Here is a 23,312-nt window from a genome sequence, read left to right on the forward strand (position 1 = left end):
GATCACACCACTGCACTCCAGCCTGGTGACAAAGCAAGACTCCATCTCAAAAATAAATAAATAAAAATAAAAATAAATTACTTAAATATAAAAAATTATGCTTTAAGGAATTTTAAGTTCTCTTAACAGGAAATAATAAATTCTATAGCTGCCATTTTCTTCAAAACAATATTCGTTAAAAACCTTCCTCCCCATTATAGCAAACATAGGGAAACATTACCTCACATTTGGATAAAGAAAACGTGTGTCCCAAATGAAGGCGTCCATTCATATATGGATATGGGAAGGTTACAAAATACTTGCCCTTGCTGCAAAACAACAGTATAAAAAAGAAAGTACAGAAGAATAAATGTTAAGTTCCTTTTACAATAAGGAAGTGGGGTGAAGGAAATGCTTGATATAAATAACTTAAGGTTATTTAAAAAATATTTAAAAGTAAATTTATAAATCTACAAATTTAAAACTCTCTAAAATTGAAAATTACTTTAGATTTACAAGAAATAAGACATTGATAGGTTGCTATTAAGAATTAAATAGCCTTGTAACAAATACTAGAGGTTTAATTTGAGCTAAAATACTTGAGTAAAGATAATATACTAGGTCAGGCGTGGTGGCTCACACCTGTAATCCCAACACTTTGGGAGGCCAAGGCTGGTGGACTGCTTGAGGCCAGGAGTTCGAGACCAGCCTGGGCAACATGGTGAAACCCTGTCTCTACTAAAAACTAGCCGGGCGTGATGGCGTGCGCTGATAATCCCAGCTACTCTAGTGGTTAAGCATGAGAATCAAGAATCGCCTGATCATTGAACCTGAGAGGCAGAGGTTGCAATGAGCTGAGATCATGCCACTGCACTCCAGCCTGGGCGAAAATGAGACTCCATCTCAAAAAAAAAAAAATTCTTTAATACCCTTATGAACCTAGGCTAATTTAATATTTTACTGAATAAATGAGATTTGTTTTCACTAGATACTAGATATATATATAAAGCAATTCAAAGTCCCTCAGGTAATATAAAACATCCTCAATATTACTTGATATGTGGTAGATTCACTTTAAACGCATCCTTTAAAGCTTTTTTTTTTTTTTTAATTTTTTAGTTGTTTTTGTAAAGACAGGGTTCTCAATATAAGAACCACCATGAGCATGAGCTCATGAGCCACCATGCTTGGTCTGTATTCTTTTTTCTTATGAAGAATATCTAACATACATACTGTGTTATGAAGCATAATAAAATGAACACTTGTAAACACACCATCTGACTTATGAATCCACTGAAACTACCTGTTTCCTCTCTACTGTCCCACAAGAGATAACCGACATTCTGAAATTTGCTTTTACCGTTCCCTTGTTTTTGAATAGTTTGCACACTTGGCAGCACCCTTAAACTATTTATCATTTAGTTTCGCTCACTTGTGAGTTTCATACAAAAAAAAGGCATACTTCATATAGACTTCTGCAATTTGCCTTCTTCACTTGACATTATATTACTTTCTTCAGTCTTACTGCATACACCTATAGTTAATTCTCTTTCACTAAACAAAGCAGCTTTTTCAGTTCACTTGTAATTATTTTAAATTACCTTAAAGTTAACCAAACCTCTAGAAGAAAATAGAAGCTTCAAATTATAGCTTCAAGTATAACACCAGAGACTATATTACAGCAATTTCTTTTTCTCTTAAAAAAAAAAAAAAAAAAAAAAGGCTGGGGCCTGGTGGCTCACACCTCTAATCCCAGCACTTTGGGAGGCGGAGGCGGGCGGATCACCTGAGGTTGGGATTTCAAGACTAGCCTAACGTGGAGAAAACCCGTCTCTAGTAAAACTACAAAATTAGCTGTGCGTGGTGGCGCATGCCTGTAATCCCAGCTACAGGGGAGGCTGAGGCAGGAGAATCGCTTGAACACGGGAGTCGGAGGTTGCGGTGAGCCGAGATCACACCATTGCACTCCAGCCTGGGCAACAACAGCAAAACTCTGTCTCAAATATATATATATATATCCATATATATATATATATATCCATATATATATATATCCATATATATATATATATATCCATATATATATATATATCCATATATGTATATATCCATATATATATATATCCATATATGTATATATCCATATATATATATATATATATCCATTAGAATATAGCTTAATAAGCAAGGAAAAAAGACTTTTGAATCAGAAAGTCCTAAAAACAAGCCCAGGCCCAGTCAATTCCCAGTGATGTAACCTTGAACTGGTTACTTAGCCTCTCTGTGCCTCAGTTTCCTCAGCTGTAAAAGAGAAATTTTAAAAGCTGTTAACCTTAAAGTATATTGAGAAGATTAAGGCCAGGCATGGTGGCTCAAACCTGTAATCCCAACACTTTGGGAGGCAAAAGTGGGAGGATTACTTGAGCCCAGGAGTTCAAGACTAGCCTGGGCAAGACAGTGAAACTTCATTTCTACAAAAGAAATTTTTTCAATGCTGGGTGCAGTGGCCCATGCCTATAATCCCGGCACTTTGGGAGGCCGGGGTGGGCAGATCACTTGAGCCCAGGAGTTGGGACCAGCCTCAGCAACATAACAAGACCCCATTTCTACTAAAAATAGAAAAATTACCTGGGTGTGGTGGCGTGCGCCTACAGTCCCACCTACTCAGGAGGCTGAGGTGAGAGGATCACCTGAGCCCAGGAGACAGAGGTTGCAGTGAGCTGAGATCACACAACTGCACTCCAGCCTGGGTGACAGAGGCTCGCTCCATCTGACACCACAGACTCTGTCTCCAAATTAAAAAAAAAAAAAAGATAATGGGCGGGCACAGTGGCTCACGCGTGTAATCCCAGCACTTTGGGAGTCGGAGGCAGGCGGATCATTTGAGTTTGAGACCAGACTGGCCAACATGGCAAAACCCCGTCTCTATTAAAAACAAAAATTAAAACTTAGCCAGGCGTGGTGGCATGCACCTGTAATCCCAGCTACTGGGGAGGCTGAGGCAGAAAAATCATTGAACCCGGGAGGCAGAGGTTGCAGTGAGCCGAGATCATGCCACTGCACCCAGCCTAGGCAACAGAGCAAGACTCCACCTCAAAAAAAAAAAAAAAAAGGCCGGGCGCAGTGGCTCACGCCTGTAATCCCAGCACTTTGGAAGGCCGAGGCAGGCAGATCACGAGGTCAGGAGATCGAGACCACAATGCAACCCCATCTCTACTAAAAATACAAAAAAATTAGCCGGGCATGGTGGCAGCCGCCTGTAGTTCCAGCTACTCAGGAGGCTGAAGCAGGAGAATGGCGTGAACCCGGCAGGCGGAGCTTGCAGTGAGCCGAGATTGCGCCACTGCACTCCAGCCTGGGTGACAGAGCAAGACTCCGTCTCAAAAAAAAAAAACAAAAACAAAAAAAATTAAAAGGTAAAATGAGGCCAGGAGTGATGGCTCATGTCTTATAATCTTAAGAGCTTTGAGAGGCCAAGGCAGAAGGATCACTTGAAGCCAGGAGTTTGAGACCAGCCTGGGCAACATAGCAAGACCCTGTCTCTAAGAAAAAACAAATTAGCCAGGCATGGTGGCGCATGCCTGTAGTCCCAGCTACTCAGAAGGCCGAGGAAGAAGGATTGCTTGAGCTCGGGAGTTTGAAGTTACAGTGAGCTATGACTGTGCCACTGCACTCCAGCTTGAATGACACAGCAAGACTTTGTCTAAAAAAAGAAAGAAAGAAAAAGGCTAGGCACGGTGGCTTATGCCTGTAATCCCGGCACTTTGGGAGGCTGAGGTGGGCGGATCACGAGGTCAGGAAATCGAGACCATCCTGGCCAACATGGTAAAACCCCGTCTCTACTAAAAATACAAAAATTAGCTGGGCGTGGTGGCACATGCCTGTAATCCCAGCTACTAAGGAGGCTGAGGCAGGAGAATCGCTTTAACCAGGGAGTTGGGGGTTGCAGTGAGCCGAGATGGCGCCACTGCACTCCAGCCTGATGACAGAGCAAGACTGTCTCAAAAAAAAAAAAAAAAAAAGAAAGAAAGAAAAAGAAGATTAAATGAGAGTATACATGTAAAAAAATTTGCTAGCACATTTGCTAGCACACAGTAAGTGTTCAATGTTAACTTACTATTATTGTTGTTACTATAACCGTATTTCTTCAATCTGAAAAAGCACATTTTCTTACATCTCAACATATATGAATCTGGGATATATCTTATAATTGATGCATACATTTATTAAGGCAATGTTTGGGGGAGTTATTTTGTTTTTGTTTTTCCCAAATATCATGTCATGATCTACGTTTGTCTTTAAATCAGTATTATTTTAGTATCAAGGCAATGCAGTATTTATGAAATAATATCTTCAACATTTATACTTCTATAAGCATTAGGTTTACTTGTAAAGAAAAAACATAAAAATTTACATTTTCTGTCTTTGGAGATAATAATCGTCTATGAGTCTAATAGAATAATTTCGTTTTATCAGTCAGCAAAGAAAAAAATCTCAAAACATCCTTCTTTGTCTAAATATTTAAAATACTGTAGTCTTTAAAACAAAACAAAACAAACTTTATTTAGAAAAAAAAATCTTTACAAACCCCATAAGAAAAAAGATCCTAATTCATATGCAGAAAGTGAAAGTCACCTCCTTCACCCTGTTTCAGGCATTATAAATACAATCTACCTTATGGGTTCCACCAAGCTGTTTCTGTACTATAAAGCCAACGGTTTTAGAAATACAATGCACAGGGCCGGGCGTGGTGGCTCACGCCTGTAATCCCAGGACTTTGGGAGGCCGAGGCGGGTGGATCACGAGGTCAGAAGATCGAGACCACCCTGGCTAACACAGTGAAACATCATCTCTACTAAAAATACAAAAAATTAGCTGGGCATGGTGGTGGGTGCCTGTAGTCCCAGCTGCTCGGGAGGCTGAGGCAGGAGAATGGCATGAACCTGGGAGGCGGAGCTTGCAGTGAGCCGAGATTGCGCCACTGCACTCCAGCCTGGGCGACAGAGCAAGACTCCGTCTCAAAAAAAAAAAAAAAAAAATATATATATATATATATATATATAGAAATACAATGTGCAGAACTTCACAAACTATTACTCACCTGGTCTGTTTCTCTAAATTAGATGCATTGACCTCAAACACTCTCTCAGTATCCCATTTCTGTTGGATTTCTTTCTCAATCTTCTTCAAAAAGTCCACTTTGGCTGTTCCTTTTCTTTCCTATTGGACACAAAGAGAATAATCCACTCTGTATTTCAGCACGCTTGCTTTAAAAAAGAATTGGGTTCACAGAACTGAGCTGCTCACTGATAAAGACTGATTTTTCCATGGTTATCTTGAAATTTAAATGAACATTAAAAATTAGGGTTATCAGCCAGGCGCGGTGGCTCATGCGTGTAATCCCAGCACTTTGGGAGGCCGAGGCGGGTGGATTGCTTGAGGTCAGGAGTTCGAGATCAGCCTGGCCAACAGGGCGAAACCCATCTCTACTAAAATACAAAAATTAGCTGGGCGTGGTGGCGGGTACCTGTAATCTCAGCAACTCAGGAGGCTGAGGCAGGAGAATCGCTTGAACCAGGGAGGCGGAGGCTGCAGTGAGCCGAGATCATGCCATTGCACTCCAGCTTGGGTGACACAGCAAGACTCCGCCAGAAAAAAAAAATTAGGATTATCATGACCTGTGTACCTCAAACCTCAAAGAAATGGTTGAACAATTACTGAAATATGTAAAAGGCTTTGATATGCTTTTTTAAAATTATATACTACAATGTAACACTGTCATCAAATGTTTCTATTTAATTAAAATACATGAATATCAAAGATACTGATAGAGAACTTCTCTCCAAAATTGTTAAAGAACTGTTCATATGAAATTTAAATAAAACAGGCTGGACACGGTGGCTCACGCCTGTAATCCCAGCACTTTGGGAGGCCGAGGTGAGAGGATCACCTGAGGTCAGGAGTTAGAGACAAGCCTGGCCAACGTGGTGAAACCCCATCTCTACTAAAAATACAAAAATTAGCTAGGCAAGGTGGCACGCATCTGTAATCCCAGCTACTTGGGAGGCTGAGGCAGGAGAATCGCTTGAACCTGGGAGGTGGAAGTTGCAGTGAGCCAAGATTGCACCATTGCACTCCAGCCTGGGCAACAAGAGCGAAACTCCATCCCCCACCAAAAAAAAAAAAATACCTGGACTCTTTTCAAGTTTCCATAAAACAGTGATTGTATAAGGTATTTTCTTTTCTAAGAAATAATAAGCCTGCACAACTGTTCATCCCTTTCCATTCCTGCTACTAACCACCTTCATTTAGACTATCAACGCCACTGCCCCCTCTCACTTCAAAACCTCTTCTTAATAAGTAACTTGGCTGGATGTAGTGCCTCATGTCTACAATCCCAACACTTTGGGAGGCTGAGGAGGGAGGATTATTTGAGGCCAGGAGTTTGAGACCAGCCTAGGCAACATAGAAAGACCTCCTCTTTAAAAGAAAAACAATTTTTTTGGCCAGGTTTGGTGGCTCATGCCTGTAATCCCAGCACTTTGAGAGGCCGAGGCAGGTGGATCACCTGAGGCTACGAGTTCAAGACCAGCCTGGCCAATATGGCGAAACCCCATTTCTACTAAAAATACAAAAATTAGCCGGATGCGTTGGCATGCGCCTATAATCTCAGCTACTCGGGAGGCAAAGACAGGAGAATTACCTGAACCCAAGAGGCGGTGGTTGCAGTGAGCCAAGATGGAGCCACTGCACTCCAGCCTAGGCAACACAGCAAGACCAATCTCAGCTCACTGAAACCTCCATCTCTGGGGTTCAAGCAATTCTCCTGCCTCAGCCTCCCGAGCAGCTGGGATTACAGGTGCGTGCCACCATACCTGGCTAATTTTTGTATTTTTAGTAGAGACGAGGTTTCACCATGTTGGCCAGGCTGGCCTCAAACTCCTGACCTCAGGTGGTCCACCCGTCTCAGCCTCCCAAAGTGCTGTGATTACAGGCATGAGCCACCCAGCCCGGTCTGTAAAATATAATTTCTAATATTTTTACAGAGGAAAGGACCCACCCACAAAGGCAAAAGTATGTAGGGCCTCATGAAGCCTAGTCATATCTCCTACCCTACGGTCATGGGTAATATGAAATTTCACTGTATTTATGTGTGTGTGTCTGTGTGAGAGAGAGAGGGTCTCCCTCTGCCACCCAGGCTGGAGCATAATGGTGCAAGCACCAGCTCACCGCAGCCTTGACCTACTGGGCTCAATCAATCTTCCCATCTCAGCCTCCTGAATAGCTGGGACTACAGGCATATGCACCACCATACCCAGATAGTTTTTGTATTTTTTTGTAGAGACAGGGTTTCACCATGTTGCCTAGGCTGGTCTTGAACTCCTAGGCTCAAGCAATCCACCAGCCTTGGCTTTCCAAAGTGCTGACATTACAGGCTTGAGCCATCGCCTTTGGCCAACTTCCACTTTATTACTAAATTCCTCCTTAACCAACTTGAGTTGACTTCTGTTAAATGCAACCAATGATCTTAAGACATTTATGCAGTTGGGCTGTAAATTCTCAACAGGCAGGAACTTTTAAATTGTTTATAGTCACCTTAGCACAAAGTACAATGCCACAGACACAGAAGTTATGTAACAAATATCTTTTACCTAAAAATTACCATGAGCAGGACATGGGAACACTGAGGCCAGAGGATCACTTGAACCCAGGAGATCAAGGCTGGCTGCAGTGAGCTATGATTGCACTACTGCACTGCAGCCTGGTTGATAGAGTGAGTCCCTGTCTCAAAAAATAAAAAATATGGCCAGGTGCATTGGCTCACACCTGTAATCCCAGCACTCTGGGAGGCCAAGGTGGGCGGATCACTTGAGGTCAGGCGTTCAAGACCAGTCTGGCCAACATGGTGAAACCACAACTATACCAAAAAATACAAAAATTAGCAGCGCATGGTGGCGCACACCTGTAGTCCCAGCTACACAGGAAGCTGAAGTGGGAGAATCACTTGAACTTGGGAGGCACCACTGCACTCCAGCCTGGGAAAGAATGAGACTCCATTTCAAAAAAAAAATAAAAATAAAAATAAAAAATATGATCATGTCACCCATTGTAAAGAAGACTATGAAAGCAAGTCTTTTACAAATTACTTAGAACTATGTGTTTCTTTTCATTGTACTGAGTATGCCAAATGCAAGAAAGCTTTTATTTGAGTTTTCTGTTTCTCAGAAAAACTTGTTTCTCAAAACCTCAAAGATCAAGTATAATAAAATCTGATATTGGCCCAAACACCAACTTGTTGTATAACCTTGAGCAAGTCATTTGATCAATCTGAGACTCAACCTCCTCACTGGTAACAAAAGGCTATATAACTAAATCAGAGTTCCTAAACTTTGGCACTACTTACACTTTGGGCCAAATAATTCTTTGTTTTCAGGGGTTGTCCTGTGCACTGCAGGATGTTTAGAAGCATCCCTGGCTTCTACCCGGGATCCCTGCTTTTCACTTACACTGTTGCCCCTGCCTGGAAATCTCTTTCTTCCTATAGTTGCATAGGTTGCTCTCTTACCTCGTTTTTGCCACCTTTTTGGCAAAGCCTTGCTTGATCATCCTTTTAAAAATTGCAACAGGCCAGGCGCCATGGCTCACGCCTGTAATCCCAGCACTTTGGGAGGCCGAGGCGGGCAGATCACGAGGTCAGGAAATTGAGTCCATCCTGGCCAATGTGGTGAAACCCTGTCTCTACTAAAATACAAAAAATTTAACTGGGCATGGTGGCGCGCGCCTGTAGTCCCAGCTACTCGGGAAGTTGAGGCAGGGGAACCGCTTGAACCTGGGAGGAGGAGGTTGCAGTGAGCCGAGATCGCGCCGCTGCACTCCAGCCTGGCGACAGGGCAAGGCTCCGTCTCAAGAAAAAAACAAACAAACAAACAAAAAACAAAAAAAAATAAAACCAGGCGGGATGGCTCATGCCTGTAGTCCCAGCACTTTCGGAGGCTGAGACAGAAGGATCGCTTGACCCCAGGAGTTCGAAACCCTGTCTCTACTAAAAATACAAAAAATTAGCAGGGTGTAATGGAGCACGCTTGCAGTACCAGCTGTGGGGAGGCTGAGGTGTGAGGATCGCTTGAGCCCTAAGGTCCAGGCTGCAGTGAGCCATGATCACGCCACTGCATTCCAGTCTGGGTCACAGAGTGAGAACATCTCCCAAATTTAAAAAAATTTTTAAAAATTGCAACTGTACTACCCCACCGTACACTCCCTAGCACCCCTTCCTGCTCTATTTTTTCCCCACAGCATTTATCAGCACCTGACACAATATTTTACAATGTATTTTACCCACACACATAAACACTATGAAAAGAGAGATTTTTGTCTGTTTTACGGAGAGGCGCTCAATTTTTTCTTTTTTTTTTTTTTTTTTTTTTTTTTTTTTTGCTGTAAGTAGGAATCAACTTACATACTCCTCTCTCCACCTCGGCTTTATTTGTTTGTTTATTTATTTATTTTATTTTTAAGACGGAGTCTCACTCTGTCGCCCAGGCTGGAGTGCAGTGGCGCGATCCTGGCTCACAGCAGCCTCCCTCTCCCGGGTTCAAGCAATTCTCCTGCCTCAGCCTCCCGAGTAGCTGGGTTAACAGGCGCGCACCACTACGCCCGGCTAATTTATGTATTTTTGGTAGAAACGGGGTCTCACCATGTTGGCCAGGGTGGTCTCGAACTCCTGACCTCAAATGATCCACCCGCCTCGGCCTCCCAAAGTGCTGGGATTACAGCCGTGGGCCACCGTGCCCGGCTCTCCACCTCGATTTTAGAAACTCCAGAGAAATAACAAATATGATATCCAAGTACTCCGTAAAGTTAACAGACATCAGTTCGTGGTTCATAAACTAGCAAGAAAAAGCAAAGTCTCTACGAAAGGCACGCCTTAAGCGTGGCTCTCTTTTAGAAAAGGACTTTCCCTTCAGGACAGCACATGGAGAGCCCCTAGAGACTGGCCAGTCCGGCTCCAGGGCCCCTGCGGATTCTTCTCGCTCAAACTCACCGCCATTGCACCGCCCAGCCGACTGTGCAAATCCACGACAATGACCCTGGCGACCTCCACAAAGGAGTGGTTACCTTTCCCCTCCCTCTCGGGGATGCCAGGCCTCCCACGAAACTAAAGCACACGCTTCACACCTGCTGAGGCAATCATCCGGCTCCTTACTAACTACAGCCAAGGCATCTCACAGCCCGCCGGGAATTGTAGTTCCCAGACCACCCGAGCAGACACCCAGCAGGCGCTAACTGACTACAATTCCCAGAGAAAAACGGGTTATCGGAAGTCTACCCGATAGGCCCACTCAGAGGGGAACCGGCAGTGACGTCACTGGCATGTTGAACTACAAAGTCCATGATGCAGTGCGGGATCGCAGAATGCCGCGAGTGCGCCCTGGTTAGGTTGGAGTCCCTTGGCCATCAACCTTTTCACCCGGTAGAGCTGGTTGCCTGTCGGGATGCCAGGATACGCAGTTAATTACTATACGGTGACTGAGGTGCTACTTATGGCTTGCCACTATGCACAGATATTTTTTACTGTCAGTGGCATTCAACAGCCCAGCATTTAGACATTGTATAACCGCGTATTGACAATCTCCTTTTTTTTTTTTGAGACGCAGTATCGCTCTGTCGCCCAGGCTGGAGTGCAGTGGCGCGATCTTGGCTCAGTGCAACCTCGGCCTGCCGGATTCAAGCAATTCTCCTGCCTCAGGCTCCCGAGGAGCTGGGACTATGGGCGCGCGCCACCACACCGACTAATTTTTTGTATTTTTGGTAGAGACTGGGTTTCACCTTGTTAGCCAGGATGATCCCGATTTCCTGACCTCGTGATCTGCCTCCCTCGGCCTCCCAAAGTGCTAGGATTACAGGCGTGAGCTACCGTACCTAGCCAACAATCTCCTTTTTTTTTTTTTTTTTTTTTTTTTTTTTTGAGAGGGAGTTTCGTTCTGTCTCCAGGCTGGAGTGCAGTGGCGCGGTTTCGGCTCACTGCAACCTCCGCCTCCCGGGTTCAAGCGATTCTTCTGCCCCAGCCTCCTTAGTAGCTGGGACTACAGGCGCGCGCCACCGCGCCCAGCTAATTTTTGTATTTTCAGTAGAAACGGGGTTTCACCATATTGGCCAGGATGGTCTCGATCTCCTGAACTCGTGATCCGCCCGCCCCAGCCTCCCAAAGTGATGGGATTACAGGCGTGAGCCACCGTGCCCGGCCAACAATCTCCATTTTTAAGCAAGAGACTGAAAGCCTACCTGGTCCCATTGCCTGACTCAGACTATTTAGACCACTACCAAACAGGGCCAGGGGCGGTGGCCATAATCCCATTATTTTGGGATGCCGAGGTGGGCGGATGACCTGAGGTCAGGAGTTTGAGACCAGCCTGGCCAACATGGTGAAACCCCGTCTCTACTAAAAATACGAAAATTAGCTGGGTATGGTGGCGTGCACCTGTAGTCCCGGCTACTCGGGAGGCTGAGGCAGGAAAATTGCTTGAACCCAGGAGGCAGAGGGTGCACTGAGTCGAGATCGCACCACTGCACTCTATCTTGGGCGGCAGAGCGAGACTTCATCTCAAGGGAAAAAAAAAGACTGGTCGGGTACGGTGTCTCACACCTGTAATCCCAGCACTTTGGGAGGCCGAGGCAGGTGGATCACGAGGTCAGAGGTTCGAGACCAGGCTGGCCAAGATGGTGAAACCCCGTCTCTACTAAAAATACAAAAATTAGCCAGGCGTGGTGTCACGCGCCTGTAATACCAGCTGCTGGGAAGCTGAGACAGGAGAATCACTTGAACCCGGGAGGTGGAAATTGCAGTAAGCCAAGATGGCAGCACTGCACTCCAGCCTGGGCGACAGAGCAAGACTCCGTCTCAAAAACAAAACAAAAAAAAGACTATGCTACCATACAGAGATATATGGTGTCTGATACAGTAGCCACTAGCCACATGTGGCAATTTAAATTCAAATTAATTAAAAATAAATAAAATTTAAAATTCATTTCTTGCCGGGCACAGTGGCTCATTCCTGTAATCCCAGAATTTTGGGAGGCTGAGGCAGGAGAATCACTCGAACCCAGGAGGCAGAGGTCGCAGTGAGCTGAGATCATGCCATTACACTCCAGCCTGGGAGACAGAGTGAGACTCCATCTCAAAAAACAACAACAACAACAACAACAAACACAAATGGCCGGGCGCCGTGGCTCACGCCTGTAATCCTAGCACTTTGGGAGGCCTAAGTGGGCGGATTGCCTGAGCTCAGGAGTTCGACACCAGCCTGGGCAACACGGTGAAATCCTACCTCTACTGGAAATACAAAAAAAAAAAAAAAAATTAGCGGGGCTTAGCAGCATGTGCCTGTAGTCTCAGCTACTCAGGAGGCTGAGGCAGGAGAATTGCTTGAACCCGGAAGGCAGAGGTTTCAGTGAGCCGAGATCACACCACTGTACTCCAGCCTGGGTGACAGAGTGAGACTCCAGCTCCAAAAAAAAAAAAAAAAAAACCACAGATTAGTTACTCACGTGATAATTTATTAACCCAGTAAACATTAAGCATCTACAATGCACTTTAAGGGATTGGGGACCCTTTAAGGGGATGGGGAACGCAGCCCAGATGTGTGTCTACCTAAGGGTTTAAGGGAAGGGAATACACACACACACAAACACATACACACAGAACTTTTTTTTTTTTTTTACATTTTTCAACAACTAGTTTTGAAATACAAATTCAACGATGTCCTAAAACAATACTTGGCATATGATATGGGGTCAATACAAATTTGTTGGATGAAAGGAAAAAGTTAAGAAGGAACCTTAGGCTACCAGTCGCTCTCCTGCCTCTAGGCTGCCTCCCTCACTTTCCATACCCTCTTCCTTTAGCTACCAACCATTTAGTCATCACTTCCTGACAGCCCAAGTCTGAGTTAAATGCTCCCCACTAGATGTTCCCTGAAGCACCCCTTGCCTTGGAAATTTCATCTCATGAATTGCCTGTTTATTTATCACTAGACTAAAATCTGCATAACAGCAGAGACTGTGCCTAGCACAATGTCAGGCCCATAGCAGGTGCCTTATAAAGATTTATTAAATGAATGAAAGAATCCTCATCCTCCACAGCTCTTATAACTATAGCTTTAATTTCTTGTCCCAATTCTGCCCTAACCAGTACTATTTTCATCTCTTTGATTCATCACCTTCCAATCCACATTGGTAATTGAAAGTATTCATACAACAAATATTTATTGAGTACCTCCCATAAACCTGACGTAGAGCTAGGATGGAGTCAAGAACAAGGCAGACCATGGTCCCTTCCTTCATGGAGCTTACAGTCTAAAGGGCATGAGACATTAAATTAGAAAATAAACAAGTAAGTATTTTATTAGAAATTATGAAAAACCTGCCTTCATGTCTCCAAATTCAACTTTTGTAATTTTCCCATTTAAGTGACTGAGCCTGGTCATGGTGTTGCACACCTGTAATCCCAGCAGTTTGGGAGGCTGAGGTGGGTGGATCACTTGAGGAGTTCAAGACCAGCCTGGGCAACATGGCGAGACCCTGTCTCTACAAAAATTAAAATTAAAAAAATTAGCTGGCTGGGCACGGTGGCTCATGTCTGTAATCCCAGCACTTTGGGAGGCCAAGGCAGGTGGATCACGAGGTCAGGAGTTCAAGACCAGCCTGGCCAACATGGTGAAACCCCACCTCTACTAAAAACTACAAAAATTAGCTGGGCGTGGTGGTGCGCACCTGTAGCCCCAGCTACTCAGGAGGCTGAAGCTGAAGAATTGCTTGAACCCGGGAGGTGGAGGTTGCAGTGAGCCACGATCACATCACCATACTACAGCCCAGGTGACAGGGCGAGACTCCGTCTCAAAAAAAAAAAAAAAGTAGCTGAGCATGGTGGTGCATGCCTGTGGTCCCAGCTTCTTGAGAGGCTGAGGCAGGAGGCTGAGGCAGGAGGATCACTTGAGCCGAGGAGGTTGATGCTTCAGTGAGTCATGTTCGAACCATTGCACTCCAGCTTGGGTGATAGAGCAAGAGTCTGTCTCAAAAAACAAAACAGCCGGGTGCAGTGGCTCACGCCTGTAATCCCAGCACTTTGGGAGGCCGAGGTGGGCAGATCATGAGGTCAGGAGATCGAGACCATCCTGGCTAACACGGTGAAACCCCATCTCTACTAAAAATACAAAAAATTAGCCAGGCGTGGTGGCGGGCGCCTGTAGTCCCAGCTACTCAGGAGGCTGAGGCAGGAGAATGGCGTGACTCAGGAGGCGAAGCTTGCAGTGAGTCGAGATCGAACCACTGCACTACAGCCTGGGCGACAGAGCGAGACTCTGTCTCAAAACACACACACACACACACACACACACACACACACAAACAAAAAAATAAGTGACCAAGATTCCTCTTTTAAGGATCATTTGAATTCCATTCATTCAACAAAATGTATTTAGCTTCTCCTGTGTACAAGGCACTATTCTAAATGCTGGAGACACAACATTTGAAAAAGACAGGCATAGGCTGGGTGTGGTGGCTCACACCTGTGATTCCAGCACTTTGGGAGGCCGAGGCGGGCAGATCATGAGGTCAGGAGATTGAGACCATCCTGGCTAACAGAGTGAAACCCCGTCTCTACTAAAAATACAAAAAATTAGCCGGGTGTGGTGGCAGGCGCCTGTAGTCCCAGCTACTCGGGAGGCTGAGGCAGGAGAATGGCCAGAACCTAGGAGGCGGAGCTTGCAGTGAGCCGAGATCGCACCACTACACTCCAGCCTGGCAACAGAGCGAGACTCCGTCTCAAAAAAAAAAAAGAAAAAGAAAAAGAAAAAGACAGGCACAGCTGGGCACTGTGGCATACTCCCGTAATCCCAGCACTTTGAGAGTCTGAGGCAGGTGGGTCACCTGAGGTCAGGAGTTTGAGACCAGCCTGACCAATATGGTGAAACCATAGTCTCTGCTAAAAACACAAAAAAATTAGTCGGGCGTAGTGGCGGGCGCCTGTAGTCCCAGCTACTCGGGAGGCTGAGGCAGGAGAACGGCGTGAACCTGGGAGGCAGAGCTTGCAGTGAGCCGAGATCGCGCCACTGCACTCCAGCCTGGGCGACAGAGCAAGACTCCGTCTCAAACAAAAACAAAAACAAAAATTAGCCGGGCGTGGTGGCACACGCCTGTAGTCCTAGCTACTCAGGAGGCTGAGACAGGAGAATCGCTTGAACTCAGGAGGCGGAGGTTGCAGTGAGCTGAGATCCCAACACTGCACTCCGGTAGGGGCAGCAGAGTGAGACTCAAAAAAAGAGTTTCTTTTTGAAAAAGAAAAAGATAAAGACAGGCACTGCCACATCCTTCAGAGAGCTTCCAGTCTAGTGGAAGGGACAGACATTAAACCAGTGAGAGCAATGGGAGGCCATCGAAGGATTTTAAGCAAGGAAGGGACATGGTCCTATTTGAATTTTTTTTTTTTTTTTTTTTTTGAGACGGAGTCTCACTCTTGTCCCTCAGGCTGTAGTGCAGTGGTGCAATCTCGACTTACTGCAACCTCCACCTCCCGGGTTCAAGCAATTCTCCTGCCTCAGCCTCCCGAATAGCTAGGATTACAAGTGCCTGCTACCACGCCTGGCTAATTTTTGTATTTTTAGTAGAGACGGGGTTTCACCATGTTGGCCAGGCTGGTCTCTAACTCCTGACCTCAAATGATCCACGAGCCTCAGCCTCCCAAAGTGCTGAGATTATAGGCGTGAGCCACCGCGCCCGGCCCCTATTAGTATTTTATAAAAATCATTCTGAGGAAGAATTGGAAAAGAGCGAAAGTGGAAACAGAAGGGTATTGCAATTGTCCTGGTGAAAGGTGATGGGGTCTTGGACTATGGTGGTGACCGTAAAGATAGAGAAATGTAGACAGATTCAAGAGATACTTAGAAAATATATGTGTTACAGCTTAGTAATATGGCTTCTTAATTGGGAATTGTCAATTATTTGCTAGCCTATGTAAAATACCCTCTATACAAAAGAATTTAGAAAGGTGTCATAGTGGATAAGAACTTAGGCTGTGATTCAGACAGAGATCATCATTTACTAGCCGGGTGACCTCAGACAATTCAGCTAACCACTCTGTGAAATAGGGATAATAATGTGTAACTCATAGGATTGCTATGAGGATTAAAGAAATAATATGTGTATAAACTCTGTTTATGTATGTGTGTATGTCTGGCATATAGTAAGCATTTTAAAATGTCAGCTATTTTTAATATTGATCTATAAACATTAGTCTGATTAAAATGGAAAAAGCTTACGTGTGCCCCATAATAATCTCTTCCCTGGCTTAACTGAGCTAGTTATCACAATGTAATTGTGTGTTATACCTTTTACAACTTTCAAACCATATCGCATTCATTCTTCAAAACCTCACAACAAAACTCAATTCCTCCCTGATTTATTTATTTTTAACTTTTTTTTTTTCCAAGACGGGGTCTTGCTCTATCACCCAGGCTGGAGTGCAGTAGTGCAATCTCGGCTCACTGCAGCCTCTGCCTCCCGGGTTTAAGCAATTCTCCTACCTCAGTCTCCTGAGTAGCTGGGATTACAGGGGCGTGCCATTATGCCTGGCTAATTTTTGCATTTTTAGTAGAGACAGGGTTTTACCATATTGGTCAGGCTGCTCTTGAACTACTAACCTCAGGTGATCCACCTGCCTTGGCCTTCCAAAGTGCTGGGATTATAGGCATTGCCACCATGCCCAGCCTCCCCCGATTGATTGATTGATTGATTTTATTTTTTTGATACGGAGTTTCATTCTTGTTGCCCAGGCTGGAGTGCAATTGCACGATCTCAGCTCACCGCAACCTCCGCCTCCCTGGTTCAAGCGATTCTCCTGCCGCAACCTCCCTAGTAGCTGGGATTATAGGCATGCGCCACCATACCCAGCTAATTCTGTATTTTTAGTAGAGACAGGGTTTCTCCAGGTTGGTCAGGCTGGTCTTAAACTCCCGACTTCAGGTGATCCACCGGCCTCGGCCTCCCAAAGTGGTGGGATTACAGGCGTGAGCCACCGCGCCTGACCCCCCGATTTATTTTTAAACCCATCCCACTGGTCACTCTGCTCAATTTGGTAATTTGTTAGCATTTCTAAATTTAGATCCCTAAGGCTATAATTAGTTTTAGCTTGTCTGTGAGTCCTTTTGTATTTGTTTTTCGTGCATACTTACCTAGCTTCCCTACCTTCAGATGACAAAGTTCTTTCTCTGAGGAAAAAATTGTGGGAACTTCTTTATATGCTTCTGCTCCTAAGGCGTGTGGCATTCAATGAATAGCGTTATTTCCCTACCCTTTTAGGGACTTTTTGTTTTTCAATGTTTTTTTCTTCTACATCTGTGTTCTGCCTTTACCTGAATGCTTCCTGAATGGCAAACAGATTTCTTTTTTAATTGACACAAGCGAAGAGTAGAAGAATAAAGAGAAGAAGGTAGGATTTTTTTTTTTTTAATTTTTTTTTTTGAGACGGAGTCTTGCTCTGTCGCCCAGGCTGCAGTGCAGTGGAGCGATCTTGGCTCACTGCAAGCTCCGCCTTCCGGGTTCACTCCATTCTCCTGCCTCAGCCTCCCCAGTAGCTGGGACTACAGGCGTCCGCCACCATGCCTGGCTAATTTTTTTGTATTTTTAGTAGAGACGGGGTTTCACTCTGTTAGCCAGGATGGTCTCCATTTCCTGACCTCGTGATCTGTCCACCTCGGCCTTCCAAAGTGCTGGGATTACAGGCGTGAGCCACCGCGCCCGGCTCGAAGGTAGGATTTTTTAGGACTTACAGGTTTAGCTGATGCTGGGGTCGCTCTGCATGCAACTTCAGACAAAGCTAATGGGTCAGCAGAGGTAGGCAGGGTCAGGGTGGTGGTTGCATTCACGGGCTTTGGAGTCAGGTGCCTGGGTTTGCGTTGATGCTGTGTCCCAGGCTAGCTCTATGGCTTTAAGCAAGTTCTTTCAACCCTCGGACCTCTGGGTTATCATGGGACCCACGAGATAATGATAATACCTACCTCTTAGGCTTGCTATGAGAATAAAAGGAGCTAAGCCAAGATGATTAGCCCAATGCCTAGAATGTGGTAAGTGTTCAGGAAATATTAAGCTGGAAGGAAGGAAGGAAGGAAGGAAGGAAGGGAGGGAGGGAGGGAGGGAGGGAAGGAGGGAGGGAGGGAAAGGAGAAAGGGAGGGAGGAAGAGAGGGAGGGAAGAAGGGAAAGGTTAAAACTACTGGAATCCAGTTTGGTCAGTTAATTAATGAAAATTCTAAATCTGATTGACATGAGCTAGGAACAAGAACAAGTAGCCATGATAATTAGAGAAACTGCCTTTTTATTTAGATAAATGTAACCAAATTAAAGAAGTTGTACTTCTCTGGTGCCAAATTTTTGAGAAATCCCTGTTTTCTAGATTTCTTCTAAAGTGGTATATTCGTAACTCCCAGAAATTAAAAATCACTAACTCATGCTATACTACTCCAGACTTAGAACCCACAAGATTCAGCCTGCCATCTCATCAACATTCCACAGAGGATGAAAGGCTGTGTCATGGGCTCATATGGGAAAGGTGACACCTGAATCATCAAAACACGGCTTGTGGTTTCTAAATAGCCAACCTACCCACCACTACTGTTAATGTCTCCACCATTAGCATCACCATTATGGAGCAGTCTAAAGGCTCTACAAGAGATGGAAGAAAAAAAGGAAAGAAGGGAAGGAGAAAGGGAAAGAGGGAGACAGGAAGGAAAAGGGGAAAAGAAGGAAGAAAAGAAGAGAGAAAAAGAAACAGGTAGGCTGGGTGCGGTGGCTCACGCCTGTAATCCCAGCACTTTGGGAGGCCGAAGCAGGTGGATCACCTGAGGTCAGGAGTTCGAGACCCGCCTGGCCAACATGGTGAAACCCTGTCTCTACAAAAAATACAAAAATTAGCCAAGCATGGGAGCACACACCTGTAATCTCGCTACTTGGGAGGCTGAGGCAGGAGAATCGCTTCAACCTGAGAGGTGGAGGTTGCAGTGAGCCGAGATCACGCCATTGCACTCCAGCCTGGGCAACGATAGCGAAACTCTGTCTAAAAATAAAATAAAATAAAATAAAGAAATAGGTAAAGACAGCCAATCATATATTATTGAGATTCCAACCTCACTGAGTTTTTTTAGAATTTATTTTTGTGCATTTCCAAAGTTTAAGATTCCTGCCTCTATTGTATCAATAAGATTAGACTGGTGTAAACTATATGAACTGGAGAAACAACCACGGTCATACCCTTTTTTTTCCTAGTAATTGGTCAGATCCCTAATATCTTATTAGCCAGAAGTCTAGTATCTTCCTCTACATCCTATTCCATATAGAGTCTGAGACTGTGAATTCTGGAGTGGGATTGCCTGACTTTGAATCATGAACCCCACCCCCATCCATAACTTGTCGTGTGACCTTGACCTGTCTGCACCTGTAGCATGGTGATAATCATGGTACTCATCTAGTAATCATCTCTAGTAAATAGATGATTATATTAGATTATCCATTAAATATTTATTAACCATCTTTTTTTTTTTTTTTGAGACAGGGTCTCACTCTGTCACCTAGGATGGTATGCAGTGGGATGATCATGGCTCACTGCAGTCCTGACCTCCCAGCCTCAAGCAATTCTCCCACTTTAGCCTCCCAAGTAGCTAGGACTACAGGTGCACACCACAATGCCCAGCTTGTTTTTTAATGTTTTATAGAAACAGGATCTTACTATGTTGCCCAGGCTGGTCTCAAACGTCTGGTCTCAAGTGATCCTCCCACCTCAGCCTCTCAAAGTGCTGGGATTCCAGGTGTGAGCCATTGTGCCTGGCCAAGCCTCCATTATGTCCTAGGGATTTCTTTCTCAGTGCTACAGATAAAACTCAACAAAGAAGGCCGGGCGCGGTGGCTCATGCCTGTAATCCCAGCACTTTGGGAGGCCGAGATGGGCAGATCACTGGAGGTCAGGAGTTCGAGACCAGCCTGGCCAACATGGTGAAACCCTGTCTCTACTAAAAATACAAAAATTAGCTGGGCATGGTGGTGCGTGCCTGTAATCCCAACTACTTGGGAGGCTGAGATAGGAGAATCACTTGAAGCCAGGAGGCGGAGGTTGCAGTGAGTACAGATTGCACCACTGTACTCCAGCCTGGGCAACAGAGAGAGACTGTCTAAAACAAAACAAAACAAAACAAAACAAAAAAACAAACTTAACAAAGAACACAAAATTCCTGACCTCATGAAAATTTATATTCTAGATGGGGTGGGGCAGAGAGAGCACAAATAAATGAAAAAAACATTTTATATAGTGAGATATGCTATAAAGAAGATAAACCAGGATGATGCAATAGAGAGTAACTAGGGGAGGGAAGTGAGGTGATGGTTTAGGTTGGATGGTCAAGGCCATCCCGAAGAGGTGATACTTGAGTTGAGAAAAAAAAGTCAGCCACACAAAGATGTATGTAAAAGAGTTCCAGGCAGGAGTACTAGCAAGTGCAAAGGCATGAAGTGGGAAAGAGCCTAATTTTTTTGTTTGTTTTTGTTTTTTTGAGGCCGGGTCTCACTCTGCTACCCAGGCTGGGGTGCAATGGTGTAGTCATGGCTCACTGCAGCCTTGATTTCCTGGTCTCAAGCAATCCTCTTGCCTCAGCCTCCTAAGTGAGCTTAAAATGTTTGAGAAACCAAATATACTTTTCTCCTCATACCTCTCTTTTCAAACATCCAGCCTCCGCTTCTCACATTCTACTGGATAGCTTCTTCATTCACTGACAGCATAGAAGAAATCAATATACAACTTTCATGACTTCCTTTTACTACAGCTACTATCACACCTCTATCCACTAATATGTGCTCTTTTTGTCACTTACAGTGAACAACAATTAGGGCTCCTATTAAGACCTATGCTCCATTGGTACATTAGACCCCATTGTCTTTTGCCCATTAAGAGCTTTTATTCCTCTAGTTTCTTATCTCACCTCTTGCATCATCAGATTTTTTCTCTCTAGATCATACTTGTCTGCATTCACACATATCTTCTAACCTAATGCAAGCAGACAAGCAAGCAAAACCAAACTGAACAAAATGCCAACAAACCCTATCCTTTGCCCTATCCCACAATACCCTTCCAGTACCGTCCAGTACCTTCATTGCTCTACTCCCCTTTACAGTAAAGCTGTTTAGGAGAACTACCATGCTTTCTCTAATTTGTCTTCTCCATTTTTCTCCTCAACCTTTAATTATATTTTATTTGTTTATTTTATTTATTTAAATCTTTTTGAGACAAGGTCTTATTCTGTAGCTTAGGCTGGAGTGCAGTGGCTACATCACTGCAGCCTCAAACTCCTGGGCTCAAGTGATCCTCCCACCTCAGCCTCCCAAGTAGCTGGGACTACAGGAGTGCACCATCTGGCTAATTTTGTTGTTTTTTGTATAGATGAGGGTCTCAATATGCTGCCCAGGCTGGTCTCAAACTCATCAACTCAAGCAATCCTCCTGCCTCGGCCTCCCAAAATGCTAGGATTACAGGTGTGAGCCACCATGCCCAGCCTCTCCTCAACCTTTTATTTATTTGTTATTTTTATTTTTTTTAGAGAGAGTCTAGCTCTGTCACCCAGGCTGGAGTGCAGTGGCGTGATCTCAGCTCACTGCAACCTCCACTCCCCGGGTTCAAGCGATTCTCCTGCCTCAGCCTCCCAAGTAGCTGGGATTACAGGCATGTGCCACTATACCCAGCTAATTTTTGTATTTTTAGTAGAGATGGGGTTTCACCATATTGGCCAGGCTGGTCTCGAACTCCTGACCTTGTGATCCTCCTGCCTCAGCCACCCAAATTGCTGGGATTACAGGCATGAGCCACCGCACCCAGCCTTCCTCAACCTTTTATCTGCTGTACTCCATGGAATTGTCCAGATCATCAGTGACCTCCATGCTGTCAAATCCGATGGCCAATTCTCTGTTCTCATCTTACTTGACCTATGAACTACATTTGACGTATTTGAAAACTCCTTTCTTGAAACATATTTCTTCTCTTGTCTATTCTTTCCTGATTTATTGGCCATACCTCTTCAATTTACTTAATATTCCTCACCTTTTCTCTACTGGCCCTTCCTTTCTAGATGTACTCATATGCTAAGTGATCTTATCCAGGCTAATGGCTTTAAACACAATTTACATGCTGATGAGTCCCCAATTTTAACTACAGGCCCAACCCCTCTCATCAACTTCAGACTTAAGATCCAACTGCCTACTTGACATCTCCACTTGAATTTTTATATTAGTTATCTATTGCTGCCTAACAAATTACCCCAAAACTTAGTGGCTAAAAACATTAATAACCAGGGCCGGGCACGGTGGCTCACACCTGTAATCCCAGCACTTTGGGAGGCCAAGGTGGCTGAATCACCTGAGGTCAGGAGTTTGAGACCAGCCTGGCCAAGATGGTGAAATCCCGTCTCTACTAAAAATACAAAAATTAGCCAGGTGTGGTGGCATGCACGTGTACTCCCAGCTACTTGGGAGGCTAAGGCAGGAGAATCGCTTGAACCCAGGAGGCAGAGGTTGCAGTGAGCCAAGATAGCGCCATTGTACTCCAGCCTGGGCAACAAGAGCAAAACTCTGTCTCAATAATAATAATAACAACAATAATAATAATAACCATTTTTTAAGAGACAGGGATCTCACTATGTTGCCCAGGCTGGACTCAAACTCCTGGGCTCAAGAAATCCTCCCACCTCAGCTTCACAAGTTGCTGGGACTACAGGCACATGCCACTGCGCCTGGCAGTATAACCATTTATTATCTCTTGCGTTTCTGTAGGTTAGAGGTTTTGGAGCAGTTTGGTTGGGTGGTTCTGGTTTATGAGTTTTCATGAGATTGTAGTCAGATGTTAGCTAGGAAAACATTTATCTGAAGCTTTGGCTGGGGCCGGAGGGTCTTCTTCCAACATGACTCCCTCACAAGGCTGAAAAGCTAGTCCTTGCTGTTGGAAAGAGGTCTCAGTTCCGCTCAGTGTGGGCCTCTCCACAGGATTTCTTGAGAGTCTTGCAATATGGCGACTGTCTTTCCCAGAACAAGAGATCCAAGTCAGAAGTTACAATCCCTAATCCAGTGTGAGGAAAGTACAAGTGAATGTGAATAATAAGAGGCAAAAATAATTGTGTGCCATCTTGAGACTGGCTACCACAATGTCTAAAAGCCATTTTGTACTTCTCATGTTCAAAACTGAATTCTGGATCTACCAGCTGTTTTCTGAATCTGTTCATCCCTCATTTTTCCCAATTTCAAGCCAGTGCTC

At 44.7% G+C, this 23,312-nt stretch overlaps 1 protein-coding gene across 5 annotated transcripts in view, besides 7 other annotated features; it reads right to left on the reverse strand.

The window, feature by feature from the left end:
• The window catches only part of LARS1 (leucyl-tRNA synthetase 1), a 69,617-nt gene extending 59,433 nt beyond the window's left edge, over positions 1 to 10,184 (reverse strand). For 3 of the 5 annotated variants that reach the window (NM_016460.4, NM_001317964.2, NM_020117.11), the window contains exons 1-3: positions 10,022 to 10,184; positions 5,081 to 5,199; positions 221 to 308 (exon numbers count right to left, since the gene is read on the reverse strand). In NM_016460.4, the coding sequence (NP_057544.2) occupies positions 221 to 308; positions 5,081 to 5,199; positions 10,022 to 10,027 (213 nt within the window). In that variant the 5' untranslated portion in view covers positions 10,028 to 10,184. The remainder of the gene's footprint in view (positions 1 to 220; positions 309 to 5,080; positions 5,200 to 10,021) is intronic. The other 2 variants (XM_011537656.4, NM_001317965.2) reach the window with 2 other exon arrangements.
• Positions 3,171 to 3,340: an enhancer, noted in NCBI's record as "experimental_81597 CRE fragment used in MPRA reporter constructs". NCBI's record gives its function as "activates a minimal promoter by MPRAs in K562 erythroleukemia cells, with activity observed for the introgressed 5:145555285 or rs62373812 variant allele {active_cell/tissue: K562}" and the evidence as "EXISTENCE:reporter gene assay evidence [ECO:0000049][PMID:34662402]".
• Position 3,256: a transcriptional cis regulatory region, noted in NCBI's record as "Neanderthal adaptively introgressed variant 5:145555285 (GRCh37/hg19 assembly coordinates) or rs62373812 in the experimental_81597 CRE". NCBI's record gives its function as "modulates activity of the experimental_81597 enhancer by MPRAs in K562 erythroleukemia cells {active_cell/tissue: K562}" and the evidence as "EXISTENCE:reporter gene assay evidence [ECO:0000049][PMID:34662402]".
• Positions 4,046 to 4,246: a silencer, noted in NCBI's record as "peak5520 fragment used in MPRA reporter construct". NCBI's record gives its function as "represses an SCP1 promoter by STARR-seq MPRAs in K562 erythroleukemia cells {active_cell/tissue: K562}" and the evidence as "EXISTENCE:reporter gene assay evidence [ECO:0000049][PMID:32103011]".
• Positions 5,066 to 5,266: a silencer, noted in NCBI's record as "peak5521 fragment used in MPRA reporter construct". NCBI's record gives its function as "represses an SCP1 promoter by STARR-seq MPRAs in K562 erythroleukemia cells {active_cell/tissue: K562}" and the evidence as "EXISTENCE:reporter gene assay evidence [ECO:0000049][PMID:32103011]".
• Positions 9,708 to 9,867: an enhancer, noted in NCBI's record as "active region_23359". NCBI's record gives its function as "activates an Ori minimal core promoter by ATAC-STARR-seq in GM12878 lymphoblastoid cells {active_cell/tissue: GM12878}" and the evidence as "EXISTENCE:reporter gene assay evidence [ECO:0000049][PMID:35858748]".
• Positions 10,776 to 11,622: an enhancer, noted in NCBI's record as "H3K27ac-H3K4me1 hESC enhancer chr5:145562805-145563651 (GRCh37/hg19 assembly coordinates)". NCBI's record gives its function as "activates a minimal SCP1, AML or CMV promoter by ChIP-STARR-seq in naive and primed H9 embryonic stem cells {active_cell/tissue: H9 hESC(naive and primed)}" and the evidence as "EXISTENCE:reporter gene assay evidence [ECO:0000049][PMID:30033119]".
• Positions 12,800 to 13,094: a silencer, noted in NCBI's record as "tiled region #14811; HepG2 Repressive non-DNase unmatched - State 3:PromF, and K562 Repressive non-DNase unmatched - State 23:Low". NCBI's record gives its function as "represses a minimal TATA promoter and a strong SV40 promoter by Sharpr-MPRA in HepG2 and K562 cells {active_cell/tissue: HepG2 | K562}" and the evidence as "EXISTENCE:reporter gene assay evidence [ECO:0000049][PMID:27701403]".

The sequence above is a fragment of the Homo sapiens genome, chromosome 5 (assembly GCF_000001405.40).
Source record: "Homo sapiens chromosome 5, GRCh38.p14 Primary Assembly".
Taxonomy (NCBI): Eukaryota; Metazoa; Chordata; class Mammalia; order Primates; family Hominidae; genus Homo; species Homo sapiens.